This window comes from Homo sapiens, chromosome 1 (assembly GCF_000001405.40).
Source record: "Homo sapiens chromosome 1, GRCh38.p14 Primary Assembly".
In the NCBI taxonomy this organism is placed as follows: domain Eukaryota; kingdom Metazoa; phylum Chordata; class Mammalia; order Primates; family Hominidae; genus Homo; species Homo sapiens.
In genome coordinates, this window is record NC_000001.11 from 70,973,210 (window position 1) to 70,990,015 (window position 16,806).

General features: G+C 39.1%; 1 protein-coding gene across 11 annotated transcripts in view; it reads right to left on the reverse strand.

Annotated features, from left to right (window-relative positions):
* The window catches only part of PTGER3 (prostaglandin E receptor 3), a 195,459-nt gene that overhangs the window by 120,852 nt on the left and 57,801 nt on the right, over nt 1-16,806 (reverse strand). For 4 of the 11 annotated variants that reach the window (XM_011541810.4, NM_198714.2, NM_001126044.2 and 1 more), the window contains exon 3: nt 1,088-1,179. The exons of the other annotated variants lie outside the window; for them this stretch is intronic. In XM_011541810.4, the coding sequence (XP_011540112.1) occupies nt 1,088-1,179 (92 nt within the window). The remainder of the gene's footprint in view (nt 1-1,087; nt 1,180-16,806) is intronic. 11 annotated transcript variants of the gene reach the window in all.

The window sequence follows — 16,806 nt, forward strand, 5'->3', positions numbered from 1 at the left end:
AGATAGATAGATGATAGATAGATAGATAGATAGATAGATAGATAGATAGATAGATAGATGATAGATACGTAGACAGATAGATGTGGGGAAGGATATAGGATTATAAATGTGAGTTGAGTAAAAATTGTATTGGCCTCATGATTTTTAAGCTGTTTTCCAGAATCAACCAGCTTGTTCTTATCCTGTAAGTGGCACACTATATATCTCTATTGAAAAAACACATTCATCTCTTCCTCTGAAAAACAGGAAAAATTCTCTCAGTTCCCTCAACCATGAGGATAAATGTCTAAAGAAATTGAGCTGCTTGAATGTTCATATCAGTTATAACAACTTGTACCGAGCAGAGGGGTTACTGTACCTGACATTACCCAGAGAATAAAATAAAATGAGCATGCTTTTTCGCTAAAATGAAGAGTTCAACTCATTTGATAAGTCAACTGTGTTATCTCTGAAAAAATAAACCTTTTCACAGTCCTTCTTAAAAAGAAAAAAATCACACAATGCTATAATTCCCAGCAGACTTTCCATTCAATTAGCCATTAATAGAAATACTAAAAAGAGGTGCTTGAGGGAAGAAACTAAAGCTCAAAATTTGATATGGCCAATCATACATGACATTTGGGATTAAGTTCTGCCTTTTAGAGTACTCATTCATTGAAGTACATGTTTTATTCAAAATAGATCTAATCAAAAATGCGACTGAGAGTGTGCTAGCCATATGAGCCATATGGCGAACACGCTGGATTCTGATACCTAATTAAAATAGGAGTGGCCTAGCCTTAACATACTACTGGAAACTGTCCTTACTATGAAAAAATCAGTGACTTACAGATTCTTTCATGGCAAGAGACTTGATCAGTCACAAGATCAGACTCAAGCCAGTTTCAAAAAACTCTTGGTTGGAGGAAACTTAAGTAAAGTTAAAAACAACAACTCCTCTAAGGAATCTAGCACTCTTAATCAGATGTATATGTTTAATTTGCATTTTAATTCTCAGAGATGGTCTGCCTTTGTAGCATCAACTCCGATTAGAACAGAGAGACGGGGGAAGGCTATGCTATAAATCCCGGCAGTTTCTAAATCTCACCTTTCCAAATGGTCGCTCCACATCAAGGTTGAGGAACACTGGCAGGGTAAGGAGGTGGAGCTGGATGCATAGTTGTTTGTGTGGTACCTGATCTGTGAACAGACAGAGGATTTCACAGGACACTTCCTTGAGTATTTTTAAAGAAAAGCAAAACCAAAACCTGCATATCAAAGTCACATTGGCTATGATCAATATGGATGTTTTAGATATTACCTTCCTAGGACCATCTCATTTCTACTTCCATGCTTTGACTCACACTTATTTCCTCCTACACTTACGCATCAAATACGACTTGCAGGCAGAGACCATGTCTGATATGACTGGGGAAGTTATCACAGCACTTGTTAAAGGCTGAATAAGAACTCATTGACCTCAAGTGATTGGTGAAGGGAAATCTAATTCAACCACCCTCCAGCTGATTATTTTTCGTGATTTCCCATTGCTCTGGGATAAAGAATAGAATTCCTAACATGACATCAAAGGCTGTTTTATCTGGCCTCGGGATGCAATTTCAAACTCTTTTCAAACTTTTTGCCTTTTTGATCTTAAATGCTCAGGCTACACTAGCCATCTTCGAACATTATGAACAGTGTCATCCTTCTTCATACCTCAGGGCCTTTGTACTTGCACTTTCTTCTGCCTGCAGTATGCTTCCATTTCTTCATCACCTGGCTAACTTCTACTCATCTGATAGATCTCAACTTGGAGAATCACTTTCTTGGAGAACATCCTGTTCACTAGGACTGGTGCCTCACTATATGACATCTACTATTTTTTCTTTCAGGAACTCATGGCATATGAAACGTATAGTTATGTGTGTGATTATTTATTGATGTGTCATTGTACCTAAGCTATAAGCTTCACAAGAGCAGGAACTGTGCCTGGTTTTGCTTACCACTGAGTCTCCAGCAGCTACCACGGTGCCTGGCACAGAAATCATAGTGGATAAGCATTTGTGGCCTGAGTGGACAATGCTGCACAGCCAGTCCTGAGGCCCATCCCTCAACAGTATTCTCCATATTACACATCTCCTAAATTCATTGGATGTCACAGCAGAAAAACGATTCCTTTTTTTTATAAATTTCTCAGTAATTGTCTTATAAGAAAAAGACACAATAAAATGAATTCCTCATAAAAATTTGTTACAAGAGAAAGGAGAAAGAAATAAAATCCAGTGTTTCTTCAGTCTTTTTTAATTGGCTTTCTAAAGTTTTTTTTTCCTTAAAAATTTAATTAAGATTATCTTAAACAGCACGGCCATTTTAAGTGGCATGGCATTATACAAGCAGTCCAGACAGACATATAGTTTTCCAATCTTTAACTGTGTTAAGCAAATGGATGATTTCTGTTTTAGGTAGGCAGTGCTGTGTGAAGAATCATAAAATGCCATGTTTTCTTTGCAGCAAAAATTACACTTTGACCAATACCTATTCCACAGCAAACAGAAAAAGTTTAGTGGCAATTTGCACAGAAATTTTATGGTTCTGGAAGAGTGGTCAGACTTGGAGGAGAAAGGAGAACAGGTTTTTGGGGTCTTTTTAAATTTTTTGTCTGCAAGACTTTCAAAGCCCCCTTTGTACTCCTATGTGAGAAGATTCTCCATCTGCTAAAGAACGATCTGGTTAGGATAAGTTCTTACCTTAGCTGACAACTAGGTTCCTCTTCCTGCTATTATGCTGCTTGGTTCTTATTTAGAGGCCTGCTTTAACTAAGGAAATGCCCTTGGGCTTGCATTATTTGTTGGCTAAACTTTAGAAGCAGACTACAGCTGTAGGAATTTCGATATCACATACCTGTACAATGTCAAATAGCAGGAGATTAAAAAAAAAAAACCTAAAGTAAGAGGCACTGCAAGGTAGTTTGTCAAGAGCCAAGAGTTCTGCAGCATATGTTTCCCTAGTGGCACTGTCTGTGGAGCACAGAGGATTTTTAGGGCTGTGAAACTAATCTATGATTCCATAATAGTGGACGCGTCATTATACATTTTTCCAAACCCATGGAATGTACAACAGCAAGAGTGAACCCTAATGTAAACTATGGACTTTGGGTAATAATGCGGTGTCCTTGTAGATTCATCAATTGCAATAAACATACCACTCTGGTAGGGGACATTGATAATGGAGGAGGCTATGCATATGTGGGGCCAGGGGAGTCTGTGAAAAATCTCTGCACTTCTCAATTCTGCTATGGACTGCTCCAAAAAATAAATTCCATTTTAAAAAATTGCTGTATATTGGGGATTATATATGATTTGATCTACTAATAGCCTTGTTACTACTGTTTCTGACCAAAGTTTTCCTTCTCTTTAACATATCCTGCATATTGTTTCCAAGGCAAATCTTGGCAAATCATAAATATCTTTGAAAGTTTCCCATTTCTAAAAGATAAAGACTACCATATGTCAGGTGATGCCAAGCTCCTTTGCCTTTAATTTCATTTCATGCTTAAACCCTTTAATACACTGATCTTCATTCACATCAAATATGACCTGTCCTGAAAGTATAAGGATAAGCAGGTACTAACGAGCCTCTCTTAGACATATCAGCTCTTGCAGCCATAAAGATTTTCCTTTATGCTGCCTAGGATCTTCCCGTCTGAAATAAATCTTGTTCTTGTTTCAACTAAACTTGCAGCTCTGCTGTGTTCTTCCCAAATTGCCAAGTATATAAGATATCCAATCTGCCAGCAAACTTTATCCTCCCTTTGGATGTGAGACCCCAAAGATTTCAATTTAGACAGCTTTATTTACTAAGCTGTGTTACAGGATATTTTAAAATAATTCAGTTAAGGTGGTTCAGGCTATTTAACTGCGTATTTGGAGGGAGGGTCGGTGTTGATCTTCCAATTTGAATTTAACTCTTGGGCCAAATTATTTTCCTATGGCAATTCTGAAAGAAGATTGATGTGTAAATGGGCACGTCACAGACACCAAATGGAGACTCCAGAAACATAGCTCATTTGTTTGGCCTTCTGCTATGGCTCATTTGTGGATCCTGTGCCATTTATGGTTTAGCTGAGGATGCCTGATGCCTGTATTCACAGAGCCATGCTGCCTCTGTGGGCTGAACACTATGCTAGTTTGTCTACGAGATTCCTTCCAGAATGACCCAGCTGTACCACAGGGTTATAGCTACTTTCCATCATGTCATTAATAGTTCTTTCTGCTCACCTACACTAGCTCACTAATTTATCCCCATCCACTGCTTGATCCTGAATAACTGAGGACTATGATGGTCTGTGCTGTCACCTTCAGAATTTCAAGGCCAGAAGTGTAACTTGGCATAAATCTAGCTAGATTTTGAAGGAAAAAGAGAAAACCATCCTAGAATTCCCTCTCTTCACCTCTGATTACTTGAGTCCTTGTTACAGGTCATCCCGCTCCCATAGCTATCCCCTCCCTCTTCCAACTTCCTGACCACCGGCTCCTTTCCATCCACTTTCAGATATGTGGAAGTTTCCCTTGTCTTGGGAAACCAATACACACAAACACCTGTGCTTGACTGTTTGTCTCTACTCCTTCCTCCAAGTGCAGTCGAATGTTTTGCCTCCCTTTAACACCAGCTTCTTTAAGTGACATGCAGTCTCAGGTGCTCCTAATTCCTCTCCTTTTAGCTCCCTCCTAAACAACTGACCAGAATTAGAAGGTCCTCTCCCTTTGTCAGAAACTGTTCAAACACTTTACAAATAATAATTCATTTAATTATTTGTAATCGGTACTCTTATCATCTTCACTTGAGATATGCAGAAACTGAAGCATAGATAGGTAAAGTAACTTGCCTAAGGTCACCTCCAGATGAGTGGCAGAGTTTGAATTCAAATGCCAGCAGTCTAGTTCCAAAACACATGTCCTAACCACACTCTACTGCCTCGCTCCCTCCAAATTCTATAATTGGTTTTCATTCCTGTGCTAATAAAACTAGTCTCTTAGAAACTTTTGGTATATGCTCTCATCTTTGATTGTAGTACTCAGGCTAGATATACCTGTATTGCATATTAAGTTCTAGTATTTACAAACCTCCCCCCACTTTTTATGCAAGTATAATGAAACTTCATTAAGCTGGAATGAACACATTATTCTAATAAGGGTAGAACTAAATTTTATATTGTTCGTGACATAAAATAGTCTTAATTGGTCAAATTAATAAGCAAAACAAAAAATTAATAAGGTAATAGGAGCAGCATTTGACCTACTCAAGGGGGAAAATATAGATAATTTTAGAAACACAAATCCAGGCTTCTGATATCAGAGGAGTCTTTCCTGATCCGGATAATAATATGTATAATGCACTTATTGATTCCTGCCTTGCAGGAGTGTGTGCTCTAGTTGGGAAGCAATTGAAATAACAAGAAATAGTAGAAAATGGCACATAGTCACTCTCCAGAGCATAGGATGGTGATATTCACCATCATCTACTTTGTTAGAATTTGCAGGGTATATTCTGAGCACTGGCAAGTTCTTCTTAGGCACCATGCCAGCTGCCACCAAGAGGGTAGTGATCCCTGTGGGCATAAAGAAAACTGCACATTTTAAAGCTAAAAGGAGCCTTGGAGATGATGTAATCCAACTCTTTTATTTACAGATGAGGATATGAAGCCACTTTCTTTTACAGTCACAAAGCTAGCTTGCAGCAAAGTCCTATCTGGAATCTAGCTTTCTCTTTCTGCTCTATCACTAGGCCCAATAATAGATTTGTAGATTTAATCCACGCATAAATACCCTAGAACATACCTTATTCATCAAATGCTTGTTTCTTAAAGAAATGAAAGTATAGATAACTGAGCAGGGTTAAAAGACTAAAACATGTGAGCTAGCCAATTATACTACTCAGTGAGCCCCACAAGAGCAGAGATTTTCACGTTTCTGTTTGTTGATGGACCCTCAGTGAGTAAACCAGAGTCAGCCACAACGTGGTTTAATTACTATGTGGTGTTTGAATGAATGATTTCTTCTACATTTTTTATATGCAATGTCTATAAGTGAGTAGATATTATTTCTATTTTATAGGTGAAAAAAAAAAAAGCTGAGTGAAGTTGACTTGCTCAAATCTAGACCTAGAACCAGAACTAGAAACCAGGCTTCTGGTGCCTAATTCATTATTTAGCTGTAAAAAGATTGCTTTCATAAAAAAATTAATTGTTATTCTGTACAGAGAATACAGACAGATTTGTCACTTCAGCAAAATTCTGAGGAAATGGGTACAGCTGCACGTTATCTACTGTCATTATTTACTTGCTGGTCTTTTGGGTGTGAGCCATCATTTCTAGTCCGGGGCCTGCTATATCACACTAACAACAAAAATAAACGGTTTCCCCTTCTTACTTTCCAAAGTTTCCTTCCTTTCTTATCTTTCCTCTCAGAATTCAAACTGCCTGGAGAAACAAAGTGGGCAGGCTGGGGACCGTCCTTCCATTGAGCGTTCTCACACCACTTCGTGAGACTCTGATCAACTCAAACTATATTAAAGACTCCAATGCCTTACAACTGTCTCCTCAATTTAATTTCATCTTTTGGAGTTTTTACAGCCTCACTATCTAAAGAGATTATACAGTTACTAGGCTTTGTAACTTCTAGCACTGCTTCTTGAATCTTCATCTTTTAAGGGGGTTCTGTGTTTTTCTCTTTCTACAACATCAAAATATATTCTTAAGATAATAGACCTTAAATGCAGTTATACTGGTCTCTTCACAATAGCACAGATTGTAGAAGCCTTAAGAATTCACAGAAAGGGGAAATATTAAAGTAATTGAGGGGAGTTGAGGTTTCATAAGGAAGTGCAGAGCATGAAAAGAAGAACTGGAAGGGAGGCGGGGAAGTCTTGAACAAAGACAGGACTGAATGAGCAAGAGTGGAAGGCAGAGAGCAAATACAGCTAGTTATTGTGGATGTTTCACTTTTGGACTAAGATTGGATAGGGGTGGATGGGAATTGGAGAAATAGAACTGTTACCACTTTCAAATAAGTGGGGACTTCGACATAGTTTGGGGGGATTGATAGCCAAAAACCTTAGGCAGGAAGAAGGGTAAACTCTAGAAATATTGCCCAGCTGGAATCCTGGTTCCACCAGTTATTAGCTGCGTGACCTTGGGCAAGTTACTGCAACTTGCTGGCCCTCAGTTTCCTTCTTGGTGGAATGGGAATAAAGGTTGTAACTACCCCTATAAGATTGTTGGTGGAATTAAAGGATTAATGCAGGCTGCCCATTATGTCTGTAATCCCAGTGCTTTGGGAGACCTAGGCAGGAGGATTCCTGGAGCCTAGGAATTTGAGGGATCCCAGGAATCTGAGCCATGATGGCACCAATGCACTCCAGCCTGGGTGACAGATCAAGACCCTGACTCTTAAATTTTTAAAAAAGGGGTTAATGTATATAAAACACTTAGAACAGAATCTGATGCAATGACACAAAGTAAGCACTCAGAAAATATTAGCTATTCCTATTTCAGCCATAACAAACAGGCCATTTATTATGCTAGCCTCACCTAGAGGTTCTTGTAAGGGAAATTCCCTGGCCCACAACTTCTGAAGGGGCAACTACAGGTCGCCTATTTTGTGCAAAGATTCTGTACATTTTAGGCATACCTGATTGGACAAGGTGTGCAAGCTCAAGCAATAGGTTAGCCACTGATCTATGACTTTGCCAGTCAAGGAACAGTGACCTTATAAGAGACTTCCTTTTTTGAGAATGTCAAGAAAATAAGGAAGATTAGTATCAGGAACAGAGCCATGAGGAAGAAGATGATTAAGCTAAGGAATTATATTGACAATACAGAGAAAGAATAGGCAACTGTTAATAGAAACAAAATTATGACAAGTAGAAAATAACTGGGTCCAATAATGGTGGACAATAGGCAAGAGATTCCATTTACTCCAGTTGTTGATTTTCAGGATCTTAATCTACTCTCCAACTCCAGCCTACACACTCCAAGCCATACTATTGTTTCTTTTTCTTTCTCCTTTTTTTTCTTTTCTTTTTCCTTTTCTTTTCTCTCTCTCTCTTCCTTCCTTCCTTCCTTCCTTCCTTTCTTCTTTCTTTCTTTCTTTCTTTCTTTCTTTCTTTCTTTCTTTCTTTCTTTCTTTCTTTCTTTCTTTCTTTCTTTCCTTCCTTCCTTCCTTCCTTCCTTCTTTCTTTTCTTTCAGACAGAGTCTGTCTCTGTCACCTAGGCTGGAGCGCAGTGGCACAATCACAGCTCATTACAACCTGACATCCTGGGCTCAAGCCTCCCACCTCAGCCTTCCAAGTAGCTGGGACTACAGGCATGCATCACCACACCCTGCTAATGTTTTTATTTTTTGTAGAGATAGGATCTCACTATGTTGTTTAGGCTGGTCTCTAACTCCTGAGCTCAAGTGATCCTCCCACCTCAACCTCCCAAAGTGTTGGGATTACAGGCATGAGCCACTGTGCATGGCCCATAATGCTGTTTCTATTACAATAAACCTCCTCTTGCTTAAGCTAACATAAGTTTTGATCTATTTCCTATGGTCCAAGGAACGTAAATAACCAACCAATGCAAACACCTTAGATGATGAGTTTGGGTATCCAACACTTGCTTTAGTGATCCCTGGTACCCATCAATCAATTGACTCATGGCCCTCCAGTGCACCCTCCATGCTGCCCCCACAGTTATCCTCACTCAGAATGGGCTCCCATTCTTTTTGACATATGCACAGACTAATTTTCTTTCAAGGGCAAGTTCAAATTCCACTTTCTCCATGAATACCTGGGGACTATACTGGACAGAGGTGGATCCAGGTTTTGTGGCATCTGAAGAGTACAAAACTTTCTTTAATAAAATGAATATAAAGCTAGGTGCCTAGGAAAAGGCCTGTGAAATTGAGAGACTTTGAAACTTCAACTTCATTCACTTCCCTGTACATCTACTTCTGATACCAGGTTAAGAGGGACTTTTTCTCCATGAAATTATTCTACCAGGTATATTTTACAATACTGTGTGTAATCACACAGACCTGCTATATAAATAAGCTCAGTCTTACACCTGCTGCCTCTCACTTTGGGAATATCATTTGTGATTGGACTGCAGTATTCCACCCCCCAGGCTGTTGGGAAGAAATTCCTGATGTCTGACAGATCTACTGTCAGATTTGGGAGGGAAAACATCGATCAGTATATGACACTGCTCCTGCTCATCCAGCATCTAGTGTATGCCACCTAATATTGGTAGCTAAGCCATTCTCCACACAATTGTTTCTAAAGAGAGCCTGCTCATTACACACATACATACTCAGACATCCCAACATACATGTTTTGTAAAATTGCTTCTTATTTTTCTATTAGCCTTAAAATAAAGACAAACATTTATTTCATGGGCCACAAGTCTCCTGTCATGTTTCCACCATCATTCCTCTCTGTCTCCCACTCCATATTTGCAGAGCTAAAAAATTTACTGTCCATTTGTGGACATCTATGCAAGGGAGCAGTCAATAAACATTAGGAGTAGTTATCTCTGCTTTTTAAATTTCACTGTTTTTTCATTTTCTCCTTCCTCATTCACCCTTGGCTCAGTTGAAGTTCTCGGTAAAGACTCATAAATAGGTGATAGAGTTGTTAATTGGCTTAATTTAATCATTGCACAGTGTAAACATATATCAACACATCACAACATACCCCATAAATACAGAACATATACAGTGATTATTTGTCAATTAAAAATAAGGTAAATCACAAATTTCTAAAAAGAGGCTAAACAACTAAGTGAATAAGGAGCTTTATGAGGGTGAAGCTTTGAAGAATAAAAAAAGGAGGCTCCCCAGACTGATTAGAAGCACAGTAGAGAGAGGACAGCCACCTAGAGAAACAGATCAGAGAGAGCCTGAAGGGAACTGTGGAAATGCAAAACCATAGCCCAGAGAGAGACCTGTCAGGTGACAGCCAGAACCTAATGACTCCCTGGAATCATCAGAGTGCTCGAGAGGGACTGCATTTCATGAAGTCACCCAGGATGTGCTTGAGTTTTTTAATTAATCTGAAAAAAAAAACAACGGAACTTTCTATGGCTAGAATTGGGGATATTTGGAAACATCCAGAGTCAGTTATTGAATATCAGTACCACTTGATTATCAGTTCCATTGAGGCAGGGTTCAAATCTACCTTGTTTCTGCTCTATGCCCACATATCACAGTGCCTCTCCTATAGTATGAACTCATTAAATATTTAGCGAATGAATGGATAATATTTTCAACAAGACTCAAGCTCTTTGAAATCACAGACTGTATCATAAATGTTCTGTAACTCTAAAGAACCCAGCACAATGCCTGACACTGAGTGACACTAGTTATGATTTGCTGTCTGATTTAGAAGCTCTTTATATGTCAAAGGGAGATATTTTTTTCTTTAAGCCTGGTGATAACCACGCACACCTGGTCAAATTCACATCCTGCCTTATCTTTTATGTGCTCCCAGCTCTATAAAGGTAAAATAAGCAAAAGGAAGAACAATTATTGGTATCAAAAATACAGTAATCTAGAGACTAATCCTTCCCTGAACTATCTTTGTCACTTCCTGATTCATTGAATTTGGTCAGTTTGTTCCACACGTAGAGCCTCCTGGCTCTCAGAACCATGAGGAAACAGCCATATCCCTGGAAGTAGACTTTAACCAGAGGCTGCTTCCTGAAAGGTCCTAGTCCCCAGGGATTTATTGCCATGGAAAGCCTGAACTGGCCGGAAGACGAACGGTACACACAACCTTTGGGTTGAGTATAGAAAATGTTCTGTATGGTTTAGCTGTTGTGACTATCTGCTATGTTGCTAATCGACACAAATAGTAACATTATTAAAGTTCATTAAGGCTGGGTGTGGTGGCTCATGCCTGTAATCCCAGCACCTTTGGAGGCCAATATGTGTGGATTACCTGAGGTCAGGGGTTTGAGACCAGCCTGACCAACGTGGTGAAACCCTGTCTCTACTAAAAATACAAAAATTACCCAAGTGTGGTGGCACACACCTGTAATCCCAGCTACTTGGAAGGCTGAGGCACAAGAATCGCTTGAACCAGAGAGATGGAGATTGCAGTGAGCCAAGATCATACCACTGCACTCCAGCCTGGGCAGTAGACTGAGACTCTGCCTCAAAAAAAAAAAAAAAATTCATTAAATTAACAAAATTATTCTAACTATTCAAAATTGCTCTACTAATAAAACAATAAGGGTAACTCTGCAAGGCCAAGGTGGGAGGATCACTTGAGGCCAGGAATTTGAGACCAGCCTGGGCAACACAGCAAGATCTGTCCCTACCAAAAAAGAAAGTTTTAAATTAGTCAGGTGTGCTGGTGTGAGCCTATAGTCCCAGCTACTCAGGAGGCTGAGGTGGGAGGATGAGAGGATCCCTTGTGCCCAGGAGTTAGAAGATGCAGTGAACTATGATTGTACCACTGCACTCCAGCCTGAACAACACAGTGAGACCCTGTCTCTAGAAATAAAATTAAAAAAAAATTTTAAGTCAATAAGCAAAGCCCAAGAACTCACATCTTAGTTGATAATTTAAAGGAAAAAAATAAGAAAAAGATGTATTTTCCAAAAACAGTTAAGAATAAAGTTACACAATTTAGAAAAATTAAAGAGATATTTTAGTGAAACAACAAAAATGTACTCTAAATCTTCAAAAACTTCCAAATACATTTTCTTGAATTGGTGATAATATTGTCTTCCATCCCCTCCCCACTCTCATGGAAACCCTTCCATCACGACAGCCCTAGGGAAATGGGAGAGCTAATGCCAACTTCAGCAGCAGGAGGAAACCTTTGCAAGGAAGGGCCTTTGCCGACAAAATCCTTCTAGTGCTAGAAGAGGAGACAGCATAGAAAGAGGAGTAGGAGATAACATCCTTACTTCTCCATTACGATGGCCTCAGAGTCAAAATCCAGAAGCGGGAGAAAGAACAGAAACACACAGAGAATGAAGAAATGGTCACAAGCTCTTTAGTACACAGGCTCATGAGGTGTCACCGCATGCGTGTGTGGACATGAAGGAGAAAGCCAATTATGATTCCCTGACTCTCCTCCAGCCTCCCTGAAGTCTCCCTGGGGCTTATGGAAGGCAGTGGAAAGCTGAACACCATAGAGACTGCCATGGAGTTGCTATTGTTGGAGGCCAAAAGAGTAAGAGTCATGATCAACTCAGTGTACCACTGGAGGCTATATGAGTAAACAGCAAACTGTTTCTCATAAATGCAGAATGTTGGCGAACTGACAAACTGTGTATGCCACCCAGAAGGACTACAGGAGGGCAGTCACAATCCAGGCACAAGTGTTTCTTGTGATTAGGCAAATCTGAAGCCTGTTAGTAATAATGTGAACCTGTGATCAATTAAGCAGCTGACCAGTCGTTACCTCCTCCTCCCTGCTCTTTCTACCCAATAAATACAAAGGGCTGCCTTTGCTCGCTAGAAGCAGGGAGCTCTCTTCTTCCCCTGGACCCTTCCTTAAAATAGTTACTTTTGTCTTAAGTTTTCATTTCTATGTTCGTCACTTTGTTCAGTCTTTTAATGACGGTCTCAGGCAGTAACAGTAGTGACGGTCTCAAGTAGTAGCAGTGGCAGTCTGTCACAGCTATGATTAGGGCTAAGATGACATTGTCAGAGGCATTTGAACCAGAGCAACTCTGAAATCTACTGGGCTGCATTCCCAGATGGTTAGGCATTCTAAGTCACAGGATGAGATAGGAGATCAGTGCAGGACACAGGTCATAAAGATCTTGCTGTTAAAACAGCTTACAGTAAAGAAGCTGGCCAAAACCCACCAAAACCAAGATGGCGACAAGAGTGATCTCAGGTCATCCTCACTGCTACACTCCCACCAGCACCATGACAGTTTACAAATGCCACGGCAACAACAGGAAGTTACCCTATATGGTCTAAAAAGGGGAGGCATGAATACTCAGCCCTTTGTTTAGCATATCATCAAGAGATAACCATAAAAATGGGCCACAATCGACTCTCGGGGCTGCTTTTTCTATGGATTAGCCATTTTTTATTCCTTTACTTTCTTAATAAACTTGCTTTCACTTTACTCTGTAGACTCACCCTGAAGTCTTTCTTGCCTGAGATCCAAGAACTGTCTTTTGGGATCTGGATTGGGACCCCTTTCCTGTAACGCCATGGCAGAGACAGCAGTTCCTATGAGGGGACGAGCCTAAGGCAATGGACTGGAGGAAGGAAGTGGCTGTGCCTCAAGGGTCTTCTGTGTCACTGAGATGACAGTGGGGTCAAGGAAGCAGGACCACAAGGCTAGAACATGTTGAGGAAACTGTTCCCAGATTTCACCAGCACTGAAATCAATGGTGGATGCCAGTGGCTGTCTAGCAACCAGGCAAGACAACAATTGATTCTGGGGATTTCAGGGAGGACCCAAAGGGCAGGATCAGGACCTGCTTTTGACAAGCTGCCTCCCTTCAATTACCTGCATTATCACAAGGGTATGTGAGCTTTCTCCTTCACACAGATGCCATCTTGGCTAAGGAAAGGGCGTGCTGGGAGAAACCATGAAAGACAACATTTGCCTCAAAGAGACTGAATTAACCCAAAATGAGAAAATAATGGATTGATAAAATATCTTCAACCGCAAGATCAAGAACCCATCTCCTACTCTTCTACCTCCTAGCTCCTGCTCCAGCCAGCAGAGACCAAACATCTGTAAGAGTTTTGTTCTTTCTAGAAAAATTTTAAGCAGATATCTTTAAGCACCTAAAATTGTATTAATTTTACAATTAGTATTTACTATAATTGTATTACAGCCTAGTTGTACACTGTATAATTTTCACCCTGGCCATTAGCAAAAACAGAGACTCTAAGAGCCAAACAGATATCAATGGCCCTAAACAAATATGGTTATGGTTCTCCCCTTTATAAATCTGTGAATGTGAGCCTTTTCTTTTCCAGTTTGATGTATTATAAAGGTGACCAGGAAGGAAATGGAAACAATGTCAAATAAGAACAGCCATTCTAATTCCAAACAAGTTAAGAATATATGTCTAAAGACAAATTAAGTCTGACAAAACGTATAAGTTATGTTTTGTTGTATAATCAGTAATAGGAGTCAATCAAGGGTCTCATTGCAATTTTATCTACAGTTTTTTACAAGGTAAATTACAAGAAATATAGCTCAGATAAAAAGAAAATATTAAATGCACTCTTCTAGTATATTACCACATCAGTAATTGAGAAGGATTAAATAAAAGACTATAATAAATATGGTAATTGCACTAAGTAGTTCCATGATAAATCGATTCTTATTCTCCAAGTAAGAGCTGATTTGATTGATCTCTATGCACTTCAGTGTTCTGGAGGATTTCCTAGTCCCTGAAGCTGCAGGTGTGGTCACTGTCAGGGGCAAAACACTTAACACAGCTGAGAAGTGATTTGTTCCCTGTGGTCCCAGCTATGCATAGGCATAACCACAACCACCCAATATAATCAAATTAAATCCCAGCTAGTGTGACACTGCCATAAGAATAATGATTGGATACTAGCAGAAGCTGTCAAGGGTCTTTTATACATCCGATAAATAAATCCAACTGACTAGTGAAGGTCAATTCAATTTAGCACTCATTGATTACATATCTTTCATGTGTAAGACACTGTGCTAGGCATTAAAAGAAAACTTTGACTCCTCACCAATAAAAATGTTTTATTGTTAAACAGCTCTCATTACGTAGTGTAAATTGTATGTAGTTTGTGGTTATGAAGCGTCTAAATTCACAATGCATTCTCATTTCTCTCAGTGACAGGAGTATCAAAATAAAAATGACTAAAGCCCCATTAGTCACAATATGACCATTTGGAATCTGGATCTTACATAAAAGTGTTTAAAAACTCAGTTGTTTAATTTTAAATATGAAGTAATACAGCAAATTACTTATCATTCAGCTTCTCTTATTCTTAATAACATAGTAACTGTGATCTTCAGGCAAAACCTTGATAAATTCTTTCCCATAAAATAACCCATAGGAAGTTTTAAAAGTCATGCAATATGGGTACATAAAATAAGGAACCATTCTCAGACTATGGCAGAGCCTTCCAATTGCTTCCTAGCATCCACTCTCCTCTCTTTCTACCAGAGCCCTGATTATGAGGTGGATACCGACTAAAACACTGCATTTCCAGACTCTCTCCCAGTTAGCTGTGGCAACGTGACCAAATTCCAGCCGATTATTTGTGAGCAGAAGTGATGAGACTTCTAAAATTCTCCTTAAAGGAAAGAGGCACACCCTTCTTTATTCCTTCCTCCTTCCTACTGACCAGAAGGCAAAATAATGGCTGGAGCTCGAGCAGCTATATTGGATTATGAGGATGTAAACTAAGAATGACAGCTAGAAATAGCTCCAATCTCTGATAACCAGGAAGTAGCCAGATCAGCCCTGGACTATCTACATCCAGAATTTACATAAATAGGAAAGAGATACCCATCTGTGTTCTTTTAATCATTGTTTTATTTATTTTTTGTTTTTTTCTGAAGCTGACCAAAACCTAACATAGTGATAAAGTCATCCCATCAGCCAGAATAAATTCTGAGCAGTTATCAAGAGAAAACTTAAAGTAATGTGAAGAGAAGCCACACTTATAAAGGAAACCAAGAGCTTTCATTATAGCTAGCCTAAAATGAAGTTAATTACCTAAATTGTTCAGTCACCAAGGCTTTGGGAGTTAACATGAGGAGGCTGGTTTTATTGTGTATCATGCCCAGAAGTTCCATGATAATTTCAAATTGTTTGCATGTAATTCCCCCCCCAAAACTTGTACAATATTTTGACATTCTTAAAGAGGAGAGGTGACACAGTATCATACTACTGTGTAATAAAAATCTGCTCTGCCCTCCTACCGGGTTTACAATACAGATAGTGGCACAGGAAAGCGCTCAGAACAGAAATCAGAATGCTTGAAGCTTACTTAACTCACTACAGACCTGGAAAGTTGCTTAAATTTTATAAAGCTTGGTTATAAGGATAATGATAACAGCAGCTCCATTTTCTACGCAGGGAAGTTGGGATAATCAAATAAAATAAATGTATGTCAAAGTGTTATTGTTGTTACTAAAATCATTTTGGTGCTCACTTATGTTTCACTGGGAGAAGCACTCTGTTTTCAGTTTTCTGGAATAATTACCTTTTAAAAGGGACTCTTTTTTGCCTGCATTAACTTATTTTCTCTACCTTCTCACTTTCATGGTTCTGCAGGATAATTTTATTTTTATGATGTCTGAGTTTTCATGAGCTACATGTATGCAAATATTTTTAGCTAAAACAATATTATTGAGAATGTGTATTTGGCTAACTCATAACTGCTTATTTTGAAACTAGCTGAGAAGCACTTGGACTGAGACTGAAAATAAAAATAAATTTATTAACAAATTATAGAAGGCTGTGCAGTTAGAATATGTCACTTGCTGATTGAAATCCAAGTGCTATATGCAGTAAAATTTCTTCAACCCAGAATCAAGCATCCAGACATTTCACATAGCAGCATTTACTTTGATAGTATTGGCCAGTTATCAATGGTAGTAAAAATGCCCCTGGACTTACAAAATATTGAAGTGCCTTCTGAATTATCAAAAACATATTACCAGTCAATGGAACCTACACACACACACGCACACACACACATGCATATATATTTTCACATATATACATGTATTTGTAAAAATATATATGTGAAAATATATACATACATGTATGGATGTGTGTATATACACATCAAGCTTCTGGGC